Here is a 23341-nt window from a genome sequence, read left to right on the forward strand (position 1 = left end):
GTAAAGGCATCTTGAGTTTCAAAATCAACCTTATATTCAATTTATAAATGAAGTTTTGGAAATTTAGAACGCAACCCATTCATGAGTTGACCCTCCCTTTCTAGTTAGGTGGTTACATGTTTATTATAGGGGTGCATGGTATACTATCCTAAAGTAACTGTTCATTTGAGTTATTTACAGCTAAAACCACATTATGTTTTTCTGGAGCATAATGTTTGTGTTTTCTAGTTATCGTACCAAAGTAAACAGTAATATCTTTAGCTTAAGAACCCAACTGAAATGTTTGTAAAATATAGATTGTTTTGTAATTTGGCTCTTTTTTTTTAATGGTCCTATGAATGCAACTATAGTGTTTGCAGTATTTGTACAGTGCATGGGGTGCTTTTTCTGGGTGCTGAGAAGGGAGGAGAAATGATAGGGAAGAGGGGATTTGGAGTAGCCGAAGGAAAAAATGTGCAATCAGTGTTGTTGATTCCACCGAATTCTAAGAATTCCATTACATCTTGATATCTGGTACAAGCTCAAAGTTAATCTTAAATTTTGGCTTAGGGCATGGCCGTACTTGCTGGCTACTTGGGAGGCTAAAGCAGGAGGATCCTTAGAGCCTGGAAGGTCAAGGCTGCTGTGAGCCATGACCGTGCCACTGCACTCCAGCCTGAGTGACAGAGTGAGACCCTGTCTTTAAAAAGAAAAAAAGAAAAAAAAAAAAAACAGAAAAAAAACAAACAAGTGTCCAGGAGTGGTGGCTCACGCCTGTAATCCTAGCACTTTGGGAGGCTGAGGCGGGCGGATCATGAGGTCAGGAGTTCAAGACCAGCCTGGCCAACATGGTGAAACCGCATCTCTACTAAAATACAAAAATTAGCTGGGCATGGTTAATCCCAGCTACTGGGGAGGCTGAGGCAGGAGAATGGCTTGAACCCAGGAGGCAGAGGTTGCAGTGAGCTGAGATCGTGCCACTGTACTCCAGCCTGGGTGACAAGCAAGACTCTGTATCAAAAAAAAAAAAAAAAAAAAAAAAAAAAAAAAAAAAAAAGGTGTTTTGGCCTAGATTGAGTAAAAGAATATTTACACTATTCTTTTCTGTAAAGCAAATCTTACTAATAATAGAAATCAGTGGGTGACATTCTGAAACCTTATAGATAACTGTTATGATATCCATAATCAGTGCTTGTCCTTGGATTCTGCATGGGTAGTGAGCTTTAAAGTATCTTGTTGGTTTAAGATTTAACCATTTTAATAATTTTGAAAACCAAGATGGATGCATACATTCTGATGACAAGAAAAGATGTTTTGTAAGGGAAATGTGGAATTAAAATGAACTTTTTGTGTTTGTTTGCAAATAATTATTAATGTTGAAGAAATTTTGATGTTAGCTCTGAGTTATGAATGTTAGAATATATTTAGAAATGTTTGATTTTCATTTTTCCATGTCATTAAGAAGCTTGCATATGTTTTTTAAAGAATTGCCTTCTTTTTAATGTGTTTTCTACAACTAATAGGCTTAGAAATTTCAGACACAAAATCTTTGAAAAAATGACTTGTACTTACTTAGCGTTTTGTTTTGACTAACACCCCTGGTGGTTGTTGAACCACAAGTTCATAGTGTTAAAAGCCTGTGGTAAATTACCCAGTAAGCTAAGTGATTAAAGTTGTTTGGAACATTTTGCTCATGTACATCTTATTTTTATGTGTATACATATTTATAGATCTGTGCTCATAGGACTATAGCACTATATTGCAAAGGTCCTAACCTTTATTCACACAACTTCCAGTGTGTACAATGTGACTTGCAGAGCTGTACTGTGGAGCATATCCTTTCCTGTGTCTTTTGTTTACCTCTGAGTAATGAAGTCAAATCTTACTTGATTTTCCTTGGCTGGTCTATTTTATTTTATTAAGTTCTGGGATACATGTGCGGGACTAGCTAGTCTTAAATTCAGTCTTTAGGAAACGTTTTCTGGGCTGGGCACAGTGGCTCATGCCTGTAATCTAAGCACTTTGGGAGGCCGAGGCAGGCGGATCACTTGAGGTCAGGAGTTCGAAATCAGGCTGGCCGACATGACGAGACCCTGTCTCTACAAAAAATATAAAAATTAACCTGGCATGGTAGTGTTCGCCTGTAGTCCCAGCTACTCAGGAGGCTGAGGTGGGAGGATTCCTTAAGCCCAGGAATTCGAGACCAGCCTGGGCAACACGGCAAAACCCCATGTCTACAAAAAATATAAAAATTAGCTGGGCATGGTTGTATGTACCTGTAGTCCCAGCTACTCGGGAGGCTGAGGCCGGAGGATTATTTGAGCCCAGGAGGTGGAGGCTGCAGTGAGCTGTGATTGTGCCACTATACGCCAGCCTGGGTAATGGAGCCAGAGCCTGTCTCAAAAAAGAAAAAGAAGAAAAGGTTTTCTGAAGTTTATGTTAAGTGTTTGTACATGTGGGAAAACAGGGAAGAACAGATCATCTGGGGTTTTGGACTTTTGAAGATGGGATGTTTGAAAGCTCTTTTGGTTATGTTATTCGCTATTTTTTAAACTTTAGATTTAGCCTGAAGCCTAAAACTTTTAGCCAAGGAAACAATGTTTTAGTAAATGGTGCTGTAATAAACAATAGTTGGTAAGTAGTTTACATGTTAATTTTATAATGATACATTGGAAATATCTGGCAGAATTAGAATCAGGCTGTGTGTGTGTGTGTCTGTGTGTGTGTGTGTGTGTGTGTGTGTAATCAGGCTGGTCTCGAACTCCTGACCTCAAGTGATCCACCCACCTCAGCCTCCCAAAGTGCTGGGATTACAGGCATGAGCCACTGCACCTGGCCAGGCCATATATTTTTGAAACAGACACTTTGATGGACTGTTTTTACTTTTATGGGGATAAATTCATTTGAACTTTGTTTAATACAGTGATTGCCTGCTCTCTCTCCCACACCCTTAGGGAAGAATGGTGTAGTTGGCAAAGAATGGCTTTGGAGGAAAATCTCTTTATGCCATTTCTAAAATGGAAATAGTGCATTTCTTTTCTTGATTAGTAAAAGGGAAATTAAAGATTATGAGCATCTCAGAAGAACACTGAACACCAACTCTTTATTTTTGCCTTCCCTCATTTCTCTGAGCGACAGCCTGAGAGTTTTATAGTCATATGAGGACTCTGAAAAATGTTAGAGACCTGGCTAAGTTGTAGGTAACTAGTGCATTGAGAAGACTGAAAGGCTCCTGAATGCAGACAAAGCATTACTAATTGCATTCAGGGTCAGGCTGTCTTTAGCCGGACCATGAAAGATACAGCAGCCTGTCTGCTGAGCGGAGACTCTTGTCTTTAAGAAAGACTGCTACCTGATATGCTAGACCGTTTCAGGTTGCCCTAGTTTACATGAATTTAGTCATTATCGCCAAGACTGCTAAACCTCAGTGTGATACTTCTAAATGGACTTGAAGACAAGGTATTTGACCTTGCAATGGGGCATAGGCAACGTTCATACAGTTTTTAAAACACGAAACAGAATACTTTGCTATTTGAAGTTTCCGTTAAAAGATTGAATGATTTTTAAGATCGCAAAGTAAACAGCAGACATACCTTTAGAAATTTTTTTATGACTTGAACCCAGGAGGCGGAAGTTGCAGTGATCCGAGATGGCACTACTGCACTCCAGCCTGGGCGACAGAGCAAGACCTTGTCTCAAAAATAATAATAATAATAATTTAAGCTTTAATAGTTCTATCTTTTAGATTTATGAATGCTTGCCCCTTAAAGGGTAAGGTGTTAATAGCAGTACTAATATACGGTAGTTTAGACCTATTCCACAGGCATAGACCAACCAGTGCAATTAATTCTTCAACCTCACAAGTCCTAATGTTCTAGGTAGAAGTGTGGCTGAAATTAAAACTGGTTATTAGACTTTGTAATACAAAAGTAGAAAAAAGTGATATTAGCTAGGTGGTCCAATATATTTTTGTCTAAGTAGGAATCTGAATATTGTAGAATTGTACATTTCGGTGCTGCTTCTAGCTATTCCTGTTCTTTTTTTTTTTTCAAATTGAGATGAGTTTTTTTTTTTTCCATCAAAGCTTAAGATAACATAGGAATTTTATATGGAAGTACTGTTCCCACAGAACTAACTTTACAAATGTAAAGCTTGGGCAGAGGTTGAGGAAAATGGTAAAGTGATAGATTTCGTAAAAACTGTAGAAATTTTCATTGACTTTACTTTGAAAATGTATAGTTGTACATGCGAAACGCTTCTAGTATTGCTTCTAGATGTATTATTCTGACAAAGTTCCCTAAGTCTTAAATAAGTTCTTTTTTTTTCTAAACAGACTTATGAAAATATGCATCAGTTTAATACTGTCTTGGAATTCATGAGATGGAAGCATAGGTCAAAGCTGTTTGGAGAAAATCAGAAGTACAGTTTTATCTAGCCACATCTTGGAGGTAAGGAAAAGAACATAATTTAGAATAATATGAAATTTCTCATTTTTTAATAGTTGAAAATAATCCTTCTACACTGCAACTTTATTTGAGCCTTCTTCAGTTTCTTTGTAACACCACAACTTTATAGTAGCTTCTTTAGTTTCCTTAATCATCTTCCTGACGAGTTCATAAGTAATTCTAATATATATTCCTCATAAATGTTGAACCTCTTCAGGAGTGAAAGGTATTTATTTCTTACTAATCACTTTCATAAATCTCCTTTTAGAAGATAAGCATTAAATGGTTTATATGTTTATTTCTTCCCCCTAAGTTTGCAAAGCAGAGTTCAGCATGCAAGATTAGGCCAGGTGTGCCTGTAATCCCAGCACTTTGGGAGGCTGAGGCAGGTGGGTCACATGAGGCCAGGAGTTCGAGACCAGCCTGGCCAACATGGCGAAATCTCGTCTCTACTAAAAATGCAGAAATTAGCTGAGCATGATGGCCTAAGCCTGTGATCCCAGCCACCTGGGAGGCTGAGGCATGAGAATTGCTTGAACCCAGAATGCAGAGGTTGTAGTGAGCTGAGATCATGCCGCTGTACTCCATTCTGGGCAACAGAGTGAGACTCTGTCTCAAAAAAAAAAAAAAAAAAAAAGATTATATTGAAAAATGAATGTTTATGTTATTCTGAAATTTTTACGCTTTTTAGAATTCAGAATTTTTTTTTTTTTTAAGACAGGATCTTGCTTTGTCACCCAGGCTGGACTGCAGTGAGCATAGTTTCAACTCCCTGGGCTCAAGCGATCCTTCTGCCTCAGTCTCCCACATAGCTGGGACTACAGGCACACATCACCATGCCCAGCTAATTTATTTTTTGTAGAAACAGGGTCTCATTATCCCTCTGTGTTGCTCAGGCTGGTCTTGAACCCCTGGACTCAAGTGATCCTCCCACCTCAACCTCCCAAAGTGCTGGGATTACAGGCATGAGCTACCAGACCCAGCCCAGGATAAGATTTTTTAACATGTTAGAATAATAGATCTTTGGAAATAGAATTTAAAGAGGTAGGAGCTGCCATCATGCCAGAAATAGGAGGAAAGAAGCCATCCTAAGACAGTATGTACAGGAAAATCAGGCTTACTGTTTTAAAATCCATTTAGAGACTAATGATCAGGTAAAAGGTTTGAATTATGTGGGGAATCTACATTTTAAGAAATAGATAGAATGTATGGTTTTATGAAGTGGTCTACGCTTACACTTCTGGAAGTGGCAGGCTTTGCTTGCTGCTACTGTTAATACTTGCAGCATTCACTCGCCCTTCTCCTGCCCCTGCCAAACCGCTGGATTAGATCTTCTAAAAAATAACGTAACTCTCGAATTCTTTTGTTAGGTTTCATATTGTTTGATTGGTAGAGTTGTGATCGTTTTTTTCTTTCTCAGTTCTTTTGGTTTCTATGATTGTGTGCTCTTCTGATTCTACTTATTTAATTACTCCTTGACCTTTTTTCCTTCCCCTCCTACTCTTAAATAATAATGACCTTCCCCAAGGTTTTATCTTAGAAATTATCCTGTTTTTTTCTTATGTCTTTCCTAGTCTCATGATTTCCGCAATTATCTCTAAAATGATCTCTCTCAACTTCCTATCTCAGTTGTGGCATTTTCTCTAAGCTTCAGGCCCATATTTTCATCTGTTTACAGATGGCTCAGCTTAGTGCCTCAGACTTCCCATTATCTAGCACATCATTCATCATGAGCTCTGCACCCGCTATTTCTCCTTCTGTTAATGGACCTCTTTGTCACCCAGGCTCAGAGTCTCAGTGCTGTTTCGGATTCCTCATCATTTGCTTCCTACCCTTAGGCACAAGTGAAGTCCTGTCAGTTTTACCTCTCTAATGTATCACAAATGTTTGAATCCTCTCTTTCCGAATCCCCCTTCACCATCCAAGTTTAGGTCTTTATGTTACATCTCACTGAAAATATTGCAGGGATCTCCCAGCTTGTGCTGCTTCTCGCTCCTACTTCATTTTACATGTTGCTGCCAGCTTAAATTATCTTAAGAGATAATTTTGCTTGTATTGTCGGTGACACTTTGCCTGTCTGCCAGAGTAAGGACAGATTCCTCTAATTTTAAAGATAGTGTAGCTTTGCCTTCATCTGTCCATTTCTTTCACCCTTTAAACATTTATTAAACACCTACTGTATGCCAGGCACTGTGTTAGGTCAGAATGCAAAACATTAAATAAAAACAGGTTCCTAGCTATACTCAAAAAATAGTCTTTCTAGGGTTGGATGAGCATGAAAACAATTATTGAAGTGCAATCTGAGAAGTGCTATATTATAATTGAAAAGATATATTTGATTATTCCACACTGTGTACATAGATGATAACTATAACATCACTGATATGCCCATAATTACATACAGCTATAATTTTCAAAAGAATTTGAAAATACAGGTGACCATGTCAGAAAACAAAGGTGTATTGGCATCACCTGGAAAGACTACACCAATGTTATGAGAGGAGAGAATTGTCAGGCAGGCTTCACAGAAGAGATAATATTTGAGCAGAGTCTTGATGGATGAATAGAAGATTGCTGAATAGAAATTGGAAAGTGTAATACTGTAAAATACATATGTGTTTTTGATGCCATTTCCTGGCATTCAACTCTTAAAATCCTTGAAACCTCTGAAGTGATGTCTTTTTGTATGCTAATGAGTTAACTGGTAGATGACAGCCCCCTAGGTAGCTTTAGGATGGGGGCTGGTCAGCAGAAAGACTAAGGCAGGATTAGAGTCAGAACTTTCAGTTCCCGCCCCCACCAACCCCCAACATTTAGGGAGGGGAGAAGGGCGAAGGTTAAGTTGATCACCAGTGACCCGTGGTTTAATTAGTTGTGCCTACAGAATGAACGTTCCATAAAAATCCAAAAGAACTGGGTTCAGAGAGCTTCTGGATAGCTGAACATGTGCAGGCTCTGGTGCCCTGTACATCTCTTTATCTGTCCTTTGTAACATCCCCTATAATAAACCTGTAAACATAAATGTTTCCTTGAATTCTGTCAGCCGCTCTAAGCAAACTAATAGAACCTGAAAAAGGGGTTGTGGGTACCTGGATTTATGGCTGGTTGGTCAGAAGCACAGGTAAAATAACCTGGGCTTGCCATTGGCATTGGAAGTGGGGGCCGTCTTGAGGATGGATCCCTCAACCTGTGGGATCTGATGCTGTCTCCAGGTGGGTAGTGTCGGAATTTAATTGGAGGTTCCAGCTGGTGTCTGATGCAGAATTGTCTGCTTGCTTGTTGATGGGGAGAAACCCTCACACATTTGGTAAGAAAAGTCTTCCCTGTTGATTGTTTTGGTGAGAGGGCAGAGGAAAAATAGTTTGAGTGTTTTCCATACTCACAGAAGGCAAGGGAATTAATTTCATGCAGAGCCCAGAGCGGGGTGGAGGCAGAGCTTGAAAGTGTATAGAATGTACAGAAGATAGAATAATTTTTGTATGGCTTGAATTTAGAATAGGAGAGAGAGTTTGAGGGACAAGGCTGGAAAGGACCTTATGAAGAATTTTGAATGCCATGGCAAGGAGTCTAGACTTTATTTTGTGAAAAATGGGCAGTCATTGAAAAATTTTAACATTTAAAGATATTTTGGATCGTAATTTTTTGTTAAAATTAATATGATGGTTGTGTTAGTCAGTTTTCATGCTGCTGACAAAGACATACCCAAGACTGGGCAATTTGTAAAGGAAAGAGGTTTAATGGACTCATAGTTCCATGTGGCTAGAGAGGCCTTACAATCATGGCAGAAGGTGAAAGGCACATCTTAGGTGGCAGCAGGCAGAGAGAATGAGAGCCAAGTGAAAGGGGAAACCTCTTACAAAATCATCAGATCTTGTGAGACGTATTCACTACCAAGAGAACAGTATAGGGGAAACTGCCCCCATGATTCAATTATTTCCCACTGGGTCCCTCCCACAACATGGGGGAATTATGGGAGCTACAATTCAAGAGGAGATTTGGGTGGGGACACAGCCAAACCATATCGTTGGTGATATGAATGGTAGTTTGGAAAAAGGAAAAACTAAAACTAGAGAGACAAGTTAGGCTATTCTTAACTGTTTCAAGCAAGAAATAATGAAGCTGTCAACTTAAGATGGAGGTCAACTTACCCGTTTAAGCATTGGTTGTTTAGAAAATGTTTAATTTTCTTCTATTCCCCTATGTACTATACTCTTCAGCTGGTGATTTGAAATCGTCCTTCCTTTTCTCTACTCTCTTCTCTTGGCATATTTTTGGCCCTTTCTCTCTTGTGGAGTGCCTGTGAACTTTAAAAACCCCATCTCAAATGCCAATTCATCCCTAAAGTTCTTTCTAATCTGTATTGCTTTGACTCTAAATATATGTCTTTTCCTAGTCTAAAGCCCCCAAAGCACTTATTTTTATTCTACAGGATATTACTTTTTTGGTCCCTATTAAACTATGTGGCAGCAAGTCACAAAGGAGGAATCAGAAAGTAACCTGCTCCCCACCCTTGGTGTGTAGTCCAGTTAGCAAGGTATGTATATAAGTAATATAAGTAATGATAACCAACATTGCCATGCAAAAGTGAGGAATGCCACAGGAGTAAATTGTTGCTTCTAGTCAGAGTCCTGTAACTGAGAAGCACAGGTAGAACATAGGAGGTTATGTGAGCTGAGCTTTGAAAGATGAGTAAAATTTAGATGGGTAAAGGATATTTCTGGAAAAGTGCATGGATAGAAAATGAATGTTTTTGTAGGAATGTGGTGAAGGTCTTAGAAAGGGCAGGAAGTATGATGTGAAGAAAGCTCTTTTAGTGAAATTACTCTAGCAGTGACATATAAACTATACATCATTAGAGAAATGAAGTGAGGAGGTAGGGAGCCGAGTGAGGAGATTGTGGCACTAGTTAGGCATAAGCTGATCAGAATTCAATCAGGGTGGTGATTGTGGAAATAGAAAAGAAAGACTCAATGATAAAGGTATTGCGGCAGAAGAAGGGACACCGATGTGTGACTAGATGTTGGAAAGAGATGATGCCGCCTGAATTTTGAGCCTGGATGGTGGGGATAATGTTGGCCTCATTAGTAGCCAAGGTAAGTTGGATCCTACTTTTCTAAATGTAGAGAAACATTAAAATTTATGTTTTACTGTACTGTTGGTCTCTTAATTTGTTTATGTGCAACAAGTTTTTTTGGCATTATTTTTCCAGCCTTAACATATTCAAAGGGAGATTTTATGAAAAAAGCAAAGTATGACCTCTTTTACAAAAGCAGTTTTTAAGGAAATAAACTGTATTCTGTTCATAGTTACCTCTTTTGCTATCATGTTAAATGCTATGTAAGATTTAGTAAAACTTAAGAATGTTTAAAGTATTTCTACAGGTATAATTCAGACACCATTACCAAAGGATGGTATCTTGTTTTAATAGAATTACCGCTTAAGGAATGGGGACCTGTGAAAAATTCATTCAGTAGAATTCGATGGTTCCATATTAACAGATAGGCATTATTATGGTACTGTCCATTAGAGAAATATTGTACAGTAAGGCAGTAAGTTAATTATATAAAACTGGCTTTTAAAATGCATTTATTAAAATTCTTATCAACTGTTAACTGATGACTGATTTAGAACTTTGCAATATTTAGAAACAGTCTAATACTCTCTGTTGAAAATAATCACTAATTGTTTTATAATTATAATTATACATGTGTAAAACTGGAAGACATTACATTATTGAGGAAGGAAGGCATTTGTGTTTTGTTTGTTTTTTAAGTCAGGCTTTGTGTTGAACTATTATTTTTTATTTATTTATTTATTTAGATGGAGTTTCACTCTTGTTGCCCAGGCTGGAGTGCAATGGCACAATCTTGGCTCACTGCAACTTCTGTCTCCTGGGTTCAAGTGGTTCTCCTGCCTCAGCCTCCCGAGAGGCTGGGATTACAGGCACCCGCCACCACGCTCAGCTAATTTTGTATTTTTAGTAGAGATGAGGTTTCGCCATGTTGGCCAGGCTGGTCTTGAACACCTGACCTCAGGTGATCTGCCCACCTCAGCCTCCCAAAGTGAGCCACTGTGCCCAGTGCAGCATACTCTGTTTACAAGCACAAGCAGTGTAGCCAGAGGACTTCAGTTTGAATCTTGACTTTACCACTTAGTTTGTGTTCCCTTGAAAGAAGAGCCTGAGAAAAAGACTTACTGGCTGATAGGTTATTTGGGAGATGAACCAAAAAGCAGAAGTGAGAGAATGGGAAAAGTGAGACAGAGAAGGGAGTGAAGTTTCATTAAGTGGGTGATCCAGTTCCCCCTGCGGGCAGCTGGGCTTCAGCCCTGTGGGTGTCTTCTGAATGTACCTCACTGTTGTCCCACCAAAGGACAGGGAGCCTGAGACATGCATGCACCAACTTTCACCTGTTGTTAATTGAAGGTTGCTCCGTGAGCTTTAACTCCGGCAGGTCTGTGCTTGTGCCTCCATGCTGTTGAGCAGTCTCCCTTAGGTTTGCAAAGTCTCCGAGGAACAAAACAGAGCAGTGCCTCCACTCCCACTTGAGTCAGGTGCTGTGCATGCCACATAGACCTGCCCACCAGAGCCACAGTGCGGAGAGGGGTGAGCTGCAGAGCACCACGAAGGTCTGCTGTGGTCTGCCCCTTTTACCAGTGAGACTCCCTCATGCCCCATTAGATCTACTCTGTCACTGACCCTGCAGATTGGTGGCTGATTATGATCACTAAAAGAAATATCTAACAGGTGCAGTGGCTCACGCCTGTAATCCCAGCACTTTGGGAGGCTGAGGCGAGTGGATCATGAGGTCAGGAGATCGAGACCATCCTGGCTAACATGGTGAAACCCCGTCTCTACTAAAAATACAAAAAATTAGCCGGGTGTGATGGCGGGCGCCTGTAGTCCCAGCTACTCGGGAGGCTGAGGCAGGAGAATGGCGTGGACTCGGGAGGTGGAGCTTGCAGTGAGCCAAGATCGTGCCACTGCACTCCAGCCTGGGTGACAGAGCGAGACTCCGTCTCAAAAAAAAAAAAATTATATATATATAGATATATGTATATATCTCTGAAACAAGAGGGTTAAAATCCCTACCACTGCAGCTGGTCCTGAGCTCTTATTTCCATCCTTGACATTCATATGAGAATGCTCTAAGAGCCCTCAGTTGTGCTGGCAGTAGGGTGTTCTCTGGGTAGGGAAGGCAAGCCCGCATCTGGAGTGTTGGTTCTGCACCCTCCTTGTTAGCTGGCATTTGGCAGTGGCAGTAGTTAGGTCACCCTTCATAAGAAGGAGCCCATGCTGTTGGGCCTATGTAGAGCCTTCCTCTCTGTCACTCCACAGGCTCCATTGACGGGCCTGGTACTCCAGCCTTGGGAAGAAGCTGGCTGACAGCACTGACAAGCCATCCTGTCTGTCCTTGGGGTGTAGTTGAATGCCTCTTCTGTGGGAGGTGCCTTGTGTTGGGCATTCACATAAGATAAAGATTGGCACTTTGTGTTCCCTGCCTTAGGGCCGTCAGCGTGCCTCTTCTCCAGGCTTCTGGTCTCTTATTTCCTTTTTGGACCCTTTTAATACAAAAATTAGCCGGGCATGGTGGTACATGCCTGTAATCCTAGCTACTCGGGAGGCTGAGGCAGGAGAATGGCATGAACCCTGGAGGTGGAGGTTGCAGTGAGCCAAGATTGCGCCACTGCACTTCAGCCTGGGCGACGAAGCAAGACTCTGTCCCCCGCCGCCCACACACACACAAAAAAAATTAACCACACACCCACTTGCTTCTGTAGAGAAACCTAGAACTCCTGGTCTCAGAAATGTCATCCAGGTCTCGCTTTCAGGCTTTTTGATTATTCTGCAACTCCAGAAAAAGAGGCTGTTTAGTCCCACTCTCTTCCATTCAGACTGTCTCCTCTTAAGTTTTAAAGATACTATTATTTTTTCTTAATTTAAGCTTAGCGGATTTACTTCTGGTTTTGATCCCTCTCCAGTTTGGGTGCTTTAATTTTATTTATTTATTTATTTAGAGGTGGAGTCTCGCTCTGCTCTCTGCTAATTTTTGTATTTTTAGTAGAGATGGGGTTTCACAATGTTGGCCAGGCTGGTCTTGAATTCCTGACCTCAAGTGATCTACCCACCTTGTCCTCCCAAAGTGCTGGGATTACAGACGTGAGCCCCTGCGCCTGGCCCATTTGGGGTACTTTTAGATGCAGACGGTGGTTTGGGAACTTGCAGCTCCATATGGTATAGTGGGGAGAGCATGCCACAAGGTTTTCAGGTAATATGAGGTTTTCTCCTCATATTCTCTTACTACACTTCAATTCCTAACTTTATCTTCCAGCCTAATAATTTCTCTCTTGCACTACTGTCTTATGGTTTCAACTGTGAAAGGTAATTTCCAGTCTCGGTGTCACAGATACTCCAGTTTAACCTCTGATTATATCTTATGTATTCTTTCTTCCTTCCTTTTGTTTCTCCCTTCCCTGCTCTGTCTTTTATAGGGCAGGGGTTAGGGAACGTCTCATTGCCCCTTTTGTTTTTCTTTTTCCTCATTGCCTCTTTTTAAAATGATCTTTTTTTTATTTTTAAAAGATTATATATTGGCCAGGCACGGTGGCTCATGCCTGTAATGCCAACACTCTGGGAGGCCAAGGTGGGAGGATTGCTTGAGGCCAGGAGTTCGAGACCCCATCTCTATTTAAAAATACACACACACGTGTGTATGTGTGTGTATAAAGATTATGTAAGCAGCCTATTAATAAGTTCCTATATAAAATTTTAAACACTATGCACCAAAGCCTTTTAGTCCCTCTTCCCCACCCTTCACCCCATTGCCCTCCTCACCACCCTCCTTGCCCTCCATCCCACTGCCATCTTGGGGACCTCTGTTTCTTAGGTTATTGGTCTGTTTGTGTATTCCATTCCCTGTTGAGTTAATTTTTGTATTAATATCTTTATAGAAAATGATACTTTTTTTTTTTTTTGAGATAGAGTCTCCATCTGTCGCCCAAGTTGGAGTACAGTGGTGCCATCTTGGCTCACTGCACCCTTCGCCCCCCGGGTTCAAGCAATTCTCCTGCCTCAGCCTCCCAAGTAGCTGGGACTACAGGCGCCTGCCACCACACCTGGCTAAAGTTTTGTAGTTTTAGTAGAGATGGGGCTTCATCATGTTGGTCAGGCTGGTCTTGAACTCCCGACCTCAAGGCCGAACTGCCTTGGCCTCCCAAAGTGCTGGGATTACAGGCGTGAGCCACCACGCCTGGTCCATACAGTTATTCTTGATTTTCAGATTTATTCTTATAAAATTATGCCTAATGAGAATATCCCTCTCATAAAGTTAGTGTGAAGATTAAGGAATTTAACATATGAAGTATGTAGAACAGTGCCTGGCCTATAGAGCTCTAAGTGTTAACTATTATTTAATATTATTATGCTTGAATATTTATAATTATTTTTGGTAGGCCTCCTTGTACTTCGTATTATTTATTTGTTCTTTATTTTTGTGCTTAGACTTCCTAGGGATATTGAACTTTCTAGATAATTTCATGGGTCTTTTCAAAGAGCCAGCATTTTGGTTTTATAAATTAACTCCACTTTTTTGTTATATATTTAATAATTTTTGCTTTTAACATACTACCTTTTCTTCCTGCCTTTGGTACCCATTCTTCCATCTCGGTTACACATAATATTCTTCTATTTTTAAACATTTTTCTGTTGTTTCTGAGGATTTAGGAGCAGTAGGAACACATTTGTTTATTCTCCCAGCCTTAGTTAGAGCTGCTTGTATATTTTCAAAAGCTTCTTGCACCTCTGTCTCCTGATGGTCTGTAATTTTTCCAGCAACCCAGGATTTAAATCTGGGAACCACCTATGACAACTGCATCTCTGCTTTCTATCAGATCTAGAAGTTGCTAAATTTTATCAGCCCCCCCTCTATAATAGTTTTCTTCCACTTCCCTATTCTCATTGCCTCTTGGTTGGGATGGTTACTTCTTGTGTGAACTACTGTAATTACCCTTTGGCTTATCTACCTCACCCTGTCCCTTTCATCCCATGTAATGCTTCAAGAGTGATTTTTCTAAACCATGGTGCACTCACTTCTTTGCTCTGAAACCTCCAGTGATTTCTCCTTGTCTGCTGAGTAAAGTTCAGGCTACTTTACACTAGCATTTGAGAATCTTATGAATTAATTCCTGCCTACACTTAATCATTCTTTATTCCTTTGTTCTTTAGGAAAAATCGTAATTGGTAAGATAAACCAAATATAAAACTATATAGTAATGCTGTTTTTCAGTCTTACTGATCTCACTCTATTCCTTATCTTTACCATGCTTTTCTGACTTTGTGCTTTTGCCTCTGGATTTCCCAGTCTGGAATGCCTCTCTCACATCCTAGTATGTTGAAATCTGTCCATTATTCAAGTGTGAGCTTAGATGCCAACACTTTGATGAAGGCTTATCTGATCCCATTGCCTAGAATTAATCTTCTCTTCCCATGTCTTTGGATTTGAACTGCAGCTTCTGTGCTCTGTTACTAGTCATTCCATTTTCGATAGTCTACCAGTAACTTCTGTGCCTTAGATCCACATTTACACTGGCTTGTCAGGATTGGTCAGTGAATCAAATAGGTAGTAAGTATAAGCTTCTAGAACTACACTCTCCGATATGGTTGTCATTAGCCACTTGTATTTTGACTACTGAGTAGCCACATATGGTTAGTGGCTACTTTATTGAGTAACATAGAGACTTTCATGATTGCAGAAAGTTATTTTGAGCAGTATCTAGAACAATGCCTGGCAAATAATAGACACCAGGGAATGTTGTTCCTAGGTATCACATCCTCATAGTAGACACTCAGTAAATATTAGTTTAACTTTCCTTTCCTCATCTGAATTTTATTAGCGTTTACCTGTGCCATTTAAAAAGTAACAGTTTATGGCAGCTAACACAGTGTATGAACAATAAATATATTTTGGGTGAGTAAGTAAATACTACGAAGCATCCAGAAAGCATCTTGCTCTCTTTTGGGGTGGGGAGAGTAGGGGAGTGGAAGTTAAAAAAAATTCACTACTCAGGCCGGGTGCAGTGGCTCATGCCTGTAATCCCAGCACTTTGGAAGGCCGAGGTGGGTGGATCACTTGAGGTCAGGAGTTTGAGACCAGCCTGGCCAATATGGTGAAACCCCATCTCTACTAAAAATACAAAAATTAGCCAGGCATGGTGGTGCATGCCAGTAATTCCAGCTCCTTGGGAGGCTGAGGCAGGAGAATGGCTTGAACCTGGGAAGCGGAGGTTGCAGTGAGCTGAGATAGCGCCACCGCACTCCAGCCTGGGTGACAGAGCGGACTCCATTTCAAAAAAAAAAAAACAGTTCATTGCTCAATAAGTGAATATTTCCAGGATGCTTAAATTAAACAGGGTAGACTAAGCAGCTAAATAAAGGTGGTCTTATCTACTGCTTTTCAAATTTAGTGTACGCGCATGTCACCTGGGGGTCTTGTTAGAAGATTCTAATTCAGCACGGTCTGGGATTCTGCATTTCTAGCCAGCTTGCAAGCTAGCCAGCTCTGCCCAGTGAGGGTGTAATTCACTAGATTGGCTACTTAAACCCATTTTAACATTTCCTAGTCTTTAGAACTAGTCCTTTAATTTAGCTCAAAGTTTTGTTGTTGTTGTTGTTGTTTTGAGACAGGGTCTTGCTCTGTTGCCCAGGCTGGAGTGCAGTGGCATGATCATGACTCACCACAGCCTTGAACTCCTGGGCTCAAGTGATCCTCCTGCCTCAGCCTCCTAAAGTGCTGAGATGGATTACAGGCATGAGCCACCACACCTGGCCTAAAGTTCTCCTTTTTGAGGTGATAATTTTTAAAGACAGCCCTTATATGTTCAGGAAATATAAGCCTGTTTTTACATAAAGTAGGTGCATTGTTCAGTACCAATATGAGAAAGAATTATGAATACAGCTTTATATTATTAGATTTCTTATGTCATAATATAAAAAACCGGTAAACTTAGCGCTGAACTATTCATGATAGTTGAAAGTTTTAAGCTAATTCAAAATATGAAATAAACCAGAAATATTTTGGAAAGAAGAGGTTTTAAGTATATTCAGGTCCTCCATTTTATGATGTGAGTCTAAATTTCTGTTCTCTGATGTCTAGAAATCACAAAAGGATGGTGATTTTGGGAACGAAGTTCTTGAGCTAGCACTGTCAGTAGTAACTGGCCGTTACTGTAAGATCTAGAGATATATTTTTAGATGCCATTATACTTACAAAGAACTGTTAGAGTGCATTTTATGGTTTTATGGTTGGTTTAATTCCCCAAATATATTGCCCTTAGCAAGTTATTACTATTTTTTATTTCTTAAATTTATTTATTGAACATTTTTATTCCTTTGTTTAGAAATGTGCTAGACAGTGGCAATTACATTGCTGCAAGATAAGTAAAAAAATCAGCTGACTAAGCTTTATAAGAGGAGGAATCATGTCTCTTTTATTTACCGTTGGATAGTCACTACATGGCACATAACCAAGTCATCATTAAGTCATTTTTGAGTGAACATTGCTCAAGATCTGCAAAGCAGCTGTGATGTGTGCGGGGTGTACTGGAAGTTGAACGGGACTCCTCAAGCAGCCTAATGAGTTGGGATTGAGGATTGCATACACAAGGGAACTCGCAGATCAAGTCCTGAAGAGAACATTGTAGTTACTCTGGCAAAGAACAACGAAGACACAAAAGCTGTGCAGAGTAATGGAAGCCTGGAAGGAGTGCCTGTGAAGGGAGAGCGGCTGCACTGACTTTGGTAGAGTTGGAGCATCGTAAGGGTATGGAGGAGAGGGGAGGAGAGTAGTAGAGGTCTCAGCAGTTGTCAGATGACAAAAAGTCTTGCGTTACTAATTTTATCGTATGAAATGAGGATATTTTTTAGGTTTTTAAGCAGAGAGAATGGCAAGGTCATTTGGTTTTAGAAGTTAGTCCGAGCTAGGCATGGTGACAGATGCCTGTACTGGACAAGCTGAGGCAGGAGGATGGCTTGAGCCCAGGAGCTGGAAGCTGCAGTGAGCAGTGATCACATCACTGCAGTCCAGCCTGGGCAACAGAGCAAGACCTTGCCTTTAAAAAAGAAAAGTCTGAAATACCCCTCACAACTGTTAAAAAAAAAAAAAAGTTCTTTCAAGCACACGTGGAGTGTTTTATGAAAGTGACCATTTACTAGGCTATACAGCAAGTTCTTATACATTTCAAATAAAATCAACCATGTTTTCTGGCGAGAAAGCATGTAGGAAGTGAATAACAAACTGTACACATTGGGAAATTTAAAAACACACTTCTGTAAATCCCACAGATTAAATATAAAATAATCAATTTAGTGAACACCTAGAACAAAACAATAGAGAAAATAACAGCCTGAGCAAAATAGTGAGACCCTGCGTCTACAAAAAAAAATAAAAATTAGCCCGGCACAGTGGTGTCCCCCTGTAGCCCCTACTCAGAAAGCTGAGATGGGAGGATTACTTGAGCCTGCAAAGTTGAGTCTGCAGTGAGCCATGATAACACCATTACACTCTAGCCTGGACTACAGAGCGCAAGACCTTATTTCAAAGAAAAAGAAACTTAGGACATATTAAAACGTGTGTGAAACCCTGAAGCCTTAAATATTCATATTTGAAAAGAAGATTTTAATACTAATAAGCTAATCTAAGTTAGGGAAAGAGCATGGCAGTAAATTCAAGTGAAGTAAAATAGAGAATACAGATAAAAGCTAACAATTCTAGAGTTCTTACTCTATTCCAAGCACCGTTCCATGTTCTTTACAAAGGTTATCTCATTTAATCTTCACAAAGCCATATGAGGAGGGTATTGTTATTATGTGCACTTTACACAAGAGGAAACTTAGGCACAGAGAGAAACTTATCCAAGCCTCTAGCTAATAAATGTGATAGAATTGGGGCTTGAAATGATGAATTTTTTAAAAAAAGATACATTGAAGAGGATTAACAGAGCTGAAAGTTGTTTTTTATGAAAGGCTAATAAACTATTTGAAAGATTGATCAAGAAAAAATATAAAGTACAAATAATACTGAGGATATAAAAGGAAGATACAGAAGAAAGTCTTAAAAATAAAATATCTTGAATCACTTTATACCAATAAATTTTACAATTTAAACGTCAATTTTCTAGAAAATTATAACAATGAAAATTGACACAGAGTAAATAGAAAACCTGGATATTTCTGTAACTGTTAGAGAAATTGGATTTGTAATTAAAAGAACCACCCACTTTCATATATTCAGAGATAAGCCTTTGGCCCAGATGATCTTTTTTTCTAAGAAAAAAAAAAACAGGCCTCTTCAGAGACTTCATTTATTATATGAAGAATTAGTGAAAACTTTGTCCCACCATTTTAGGCTATTTTTACATTAGAAAAAATACTGCACATTTATGAAAATTTACTAGGGGCAAATTTCAACTTATCTGTAAAATAGTAATGCCAACTGTGGAGATGGCACTGTAAACCAAAAGGCACAATGACTAAAGAAACTACTGAAAATTTAACAATTATCTCTTCATTATCCTTCCTTATTGGGGAACCTGCCCCGATAGTCATGTAGGTTCTTTTCTATTTTCCGTAAGTGTTGGCTGGTTAGAGAAATAAAGGGACAGAGTACAAAAGAGAGAAATTTTAAAGCTGGGCGTCCGGGGGAGACATCACATGTCGGTAGATTCCGTGATGCCCCACAAGCCGTGAAACCAGCAATTTTTTATTAGTGATTTTCAAAAGGGGAGGGAGTGTGCAAATAGGTGTGGGTCACAGAGATCACGTGCTTCACAAGGTAATAGAATATCACAAGGCAAATGGAGGCAGGGCGAGATCACAGGACCACAGGACGGGGCGAAATTAAAATTGCTAATGAAGTTTCGGGCACCATTGTCATTGATAACATCTTATCAGGAGACAGGGTTTGAGAGCAACCAGTCTGACCAAAATTTATTAGGCGGGAATTTCCTTGTCCTAATAAGCCTGGGAGCGCTATGGGAGACTAGGGCTTATTTCATCCCTACAGTCTCGACCATAGAAGACGGCCACACCCAAGGGGACCATTTCAGAGGCCCACCCTCAGGGGCACATTCTCTTTCCCAGGGATGTTCCTTGCTGAGAAAAAGAATTCAGCAATATTTCTCCTATTTGCTTTTGAAAGAAGAGCAATATGGCTCTGTTCCGCCCGGCTCACCGGCGGTCAGAGTTTAAGGTTCTCTCTCTTATTCCCTGAACATTGCTGTTACCCTGTTCTTTTTTCAAGGTGCCCAGATTTCATATTGTTCAAACACACGTGCTCTACAATTTGTGCAGTTAACGCAATTATTACAGGGTCCTGAGGTGACATACATCCTCCTCAGCTGACAGGATTAAGAGATTAAAGTAAAGACAAGCATAGGAAATCACAAGGGTATTGATTGAGGAAGTGATAAGTGTCCATGAAATCTTCACAATTTGTGTTTAGAGACTGCAGTAAAGACAGGCATAAGAAATTACAAAAGTATTAATTTGGGGAACTAATAAATGTCCATGAAATCTTCACAATCCATGTTCTTCTGCCATGGCTTTAGCCAGTCCCTCCGTTTGGGGTCCCTGACTTCCCGCAACACTTCCTGCTCCAAGATTTGCTATGATGAGTTTTCCAAATGTTAACGACCTGGAAAAGCTCATTGTCTTTAAGACGTATCCCTTCTGAGTCTTGTGATTTGGTGGTTTCTTCATCCAAAACGTATCATCCTCTATAAAACTCCCTGATCCTCAGATTTAACTTTTCAGTTTCTTTTTCCAAGTTCTCATCAGTGGTTTAATGGCTGTATCTGAGCACCTAAAAGGTAAAGACTCTTCCAAGCTGTTGAGACTCCCTCCAGGCAGGGGAATGACTATCTGGGTCTGAGATTATGTCATTAAGTTCTTTTTTTTTCTTTTTCTTTTTTTTTTTTTTTCTTTTTGAGACAGAGTCTCCCTCTGTTGCCCAGGCTGGGATGCAGTGGTGCAACCTCCACTCCCTGCAACCTCAGCTGCTTGGGTTCAAGCAGTTCTCCTCAGCCTCCCAAGTAGCTGGGATTACAGGCACCTGCCTCCACGCCCAGCTAATTATTGTATTTTTAGTAGAGACAGGGTTTCACATCAGGTCTCGAACTCCTGACATCAGGTGATCAACCTGCTGGGATTACAGGCGTGAGCCACCACACCCTGCGTCGCTAAGTTTTTTAACCAGAGAGGCTTCAGGTTTCAGACACACAGAAGCATAATTCTGGCCATACAAAAACCTCAGTTTCTTCTGTCTTCCACCCAATCAAAGTCTCCTTCAAAACTTTAAGTAAGTTTCTATTTGCCACTTCAGGACACACCTGCACTGAACTAGACACTGACTTAGAAACTTGGTTTGATTTGGCAAATTTTCTGTTAAAATGCTCCATACTTTTCTTATGCCTATTAGAGTTATTTCTGACCTACTGTATTTACTTTCAGAATTTTCTGAAGCTATAATCTTTCAGGAAATAGTACTATTTTTTGAAATAGTATTTCTATTTTTTGAAAATAGTATTTCTATTTTTTGAAATAGTACTTTTCAAAAAAGTACTATTTGAAGAACTCTTGAGTATTTACTTTCTGTAAAGGAAGTTCACATGTGGCAGCTTTCTCCTGAGTATCTAATTTGCAATTGCCTAACTGCTCAGTGACATCCACTACTGTCTGTTCTTTGTGTTTGGCATTAGCTTTGAGACCAGCTTTCTTTTTCATTATGCTTTTTTGGTGCAGCTGTCGTCTAATACTTGTTGAATTTGGTCTGTTTCCTGGTAGAATGGAGGAAACAAAGTCTTGCTCATTATCACTGCTGCTGTCATTATGAGTGCTGGAAGAACAATTGCTAGAAGATTCATATTGCTTTTCAAACTGGCTAGGATTGTTGATATCTGATGTTTTAATGGCTTTACTGCATAACTATTTCTTTTCCAGAATGGCCACTTTGCCCTTCCTTTAGCAGTTGAAAATCTGGATGCCTCTCACCGTACTGGAGTTTTGGGAATTTGTGCTTCAAAAAACTCAGATGCTTCATAACAAAAATTGCTGCAAAAAGACTTTCTTTCAGTAATATCATAGACTTTATTGGTTTTGAAATTTTATATTTAATTCCCAGCTTCTTGTGACATAAAGGATAACCACAGAGTTTGACAATAGAATGTTCATTCACTACATCGTTGTAGTGAGCAGGTGTAATGAACTTCCCCTTTTAGAAGCATCTTCTTGTTTCAAAGTACTTGTCTGTTTAGTACCTGTGGCATTTCGAGAATGGTGGGAGCCCTGGCCCTCTGCAGCCCAGGGCAGTCAGCCATGGGAGAGAGTAGTCTGCGGGTCTGGACCAGCTCCAGAGTCTCGCCCCGAGGCACCATCTCCCTACCTGGCCCACGTTATCTTAAGGGTGAATTCTTTTAAACTGTCCATGTCGTAGGTATGTCCAGATTTACACATGCCATTCCAGAGAATAGCAAATTAAGGAAAGTTCCTCAGTTTATTGTGACTAGTATAACTTTGGTACCAAAACCAAGCATGGCTAATATGAAATAAATTATAGACCAGTCTTGCTTGTGTAAAATCTAACAAGATAGGAGCAAAAGAAGTCCAGTATTATGTTTAAATATTTTATATGTATATATCTCATGTCTACAATGCTGACTGTAATACAGTTCTGACAGAGTTAGCATGAAACTCCACAGGTTTAAGGGTGCAGTTCCCAACGAGACTGCCCTTGCTGCGAGTACAAGTTAAAAGTTTGGTGGTCCCCAGACCACCTGTTATTCCGATTAACTGGCTGCAAATCTGGGGGTTCCCATGAATCCCCTCAAGTTTGATAATTTATAAATTAACTGACTGAACTTGGGAAAGTGGTATACTTAAGTTACACTTTAATTATGAAGAATACAGATCAGGACCAGCCAAATGAGATACAGGGTACTGGGAGGGTTCCTAACATGGAGCTTCTGTGCTCTCTTCTCCTGGGATCAGGGTATGTCACCCTCTTGACACATCAGTATGCTCACCAATGAGGAAGCCTACCTGAGCTATGGTGTGTGTAGATTTTATATGTAGGTGTAATGGAATAATTGGCCATGTGATTGAACTCAAACTTTCAGTGTTCTCTCCTTTCTTCCTTAGAGGCTTGGCTAGCTCAAACCCCATCCTTCTACACATGGTGGCCTTTCTGGTGAGCAGACCCCATTCTGAGTCATCTTGTTAGCATAATCTCCCCCATTCTGAGTCAATTGTTAGCATAATCTCAGGAATGATCCATGAGGCTCGTGAGTAACAAAGGCATTCCTACTACCAAGGAAATTCCATGAATTAGAGGTTCTCTCCCAAGAACTAGGGTCAAAGACTGAATACATTATTTATTATACAATAATGACAAATTGAAATTATCCCAGGAATGCAAGATAAGTGTGTTAATTATCATTGCTGCATAACAGTTTATCCCAAAACTTAATGACATGAAACCCTAATTTACAAGAATTCAGGAGTAGCCTAGCTGGATGTGGTTCTAATCTTTATGTTTCACAAGGTTGCAGTCAGGAAGTCAGCAGGGGCTACAGTCATCTGAAAGCCTGACTCGGGGAGAATACACTTCCATGTGGCATACTCACATGGTGGTTGGCAGGAGGCCTCAGTTCTTCACCCTATGGGCCTTCCCATAGGCTCGAGTATCCTCACACTGTGACAGCTGGCTTTCTCCAGATCTAGTGATCCAAAAAAAAAAAAAAAACAAGGAGAAAGCTGCAGTGCCTTTTAAGACCTAGTCATTACTTTATTCGTTTCTTTTTTTTTTTAAATTAAATTGAGATGGGGTCTTGCTATGTTGACCAGGCTGGTCTCAAACTCCTGGTCTCAA

The 23341-nt window shown here is 40.0% G+C and overlaps 1 protein-coding gene and 1 pseudogene across 36 annotated transcripts in view, besides 3 other annotated features; one reads left to right on the forward strand and one right to left on the reverse strand.

Moving 5' to 3' along the window:
• Window positions 1-23341, forward strand: part of BMPR1A (bone morphogenetic protein receptor type 1A) — a 177082-nt gene that overhangs the window by 78790 nt on the left and 74951 nt on the right. For 14 of the 36 annotated variants that reach the window (NR_176213.1, NR_176212.1, NR_176211.1 and 11 more), the window contains one exon: window positions 4313-4427. The exons of 4 other annotated variants lie outside the window; for them this stretch is intronic. The gene's annotated coding sequence lies outside the window, so the exon portion shown is untranslated. Of the gene's footprint in view, window positions 1-2538; window positions 2614-4281; window positions 4428-8853; window positions 8959-9415; window positions 9518-16817; window positions 17240-22611; window positions 22661-23341 lie in introns of all 36 variants that reach the window. 18 more of the 36 variants (NM_001406562.1, NM_001406564.1, NM_001406572.1 and 15 more) reach the window with 11 other exon arrangements.
• Window positions 2912-3504: an enhancer, noted in NCBI's record as "OCT4-NANOG hESC enhancer chr10:88597221-88597813 (GRCh37/hg19 assembly coordinates)". NCBI's record gives its function as "activates a minimal SCP1, AML or CMV promoter by ChIP-STARR-seq in naive H9 embryonic stem cells {active_cell/tissue: H9 hESC(naive)}" and the evidence as "EXISTENCE:reporter gene assay evidence [ECO:0000049][PMID:30033119]".
• Window positions 14968-15017: a silencer, noted in NCBI's record as "silent region_2574". NCBI's record gives its function as "represses an Ori minimal core promoter by ATAC-STARR-seq in GM12878 lymphoblastoid cells {active_cell/tissue: GM12878}" and the evidence as "EXISTENCE:reporter gene assay evidence [ECO:0000049][PMID:35858748]".
• Window positions 20141-21806, reverse strand: RPAP2P1 (RNA polymerase II associated protein 2 pseudogene 1; annotated as a pseudogene).
• Window positions 21340-21921: an enhancer, noted in NCBI's record as "H3K27ac-H3K4me1 hESC enhancer chr10:88615649-88616230 (GRCh37/hg19 assembly coordinates)". NCBI's record gives its function as "activates a minimal SCP1, AML or CMV promoter by ChIP-STARR-seq in naive H9 embryonic stem cells {active_cell/tissue: H9 hESC(naive)}" and the evidence as "EXISTENCE:reporter gene assay evidence [ECO:0000049][PMID:30033119]".

This window comes from Homo sapiens, chromosome 10, assembly GCF_000001405.40.
Source record: "Homo sapiens chromosome 10, GRCh38.p14 Primary Assembly".
In the NCBI taxonomy this organism is placed as follows: domain Eukaryota; kingdom Metazoa; phylum Chordata; class Mammalia; order Primates; family Hominidae; genus Homo; species Homo sapiens.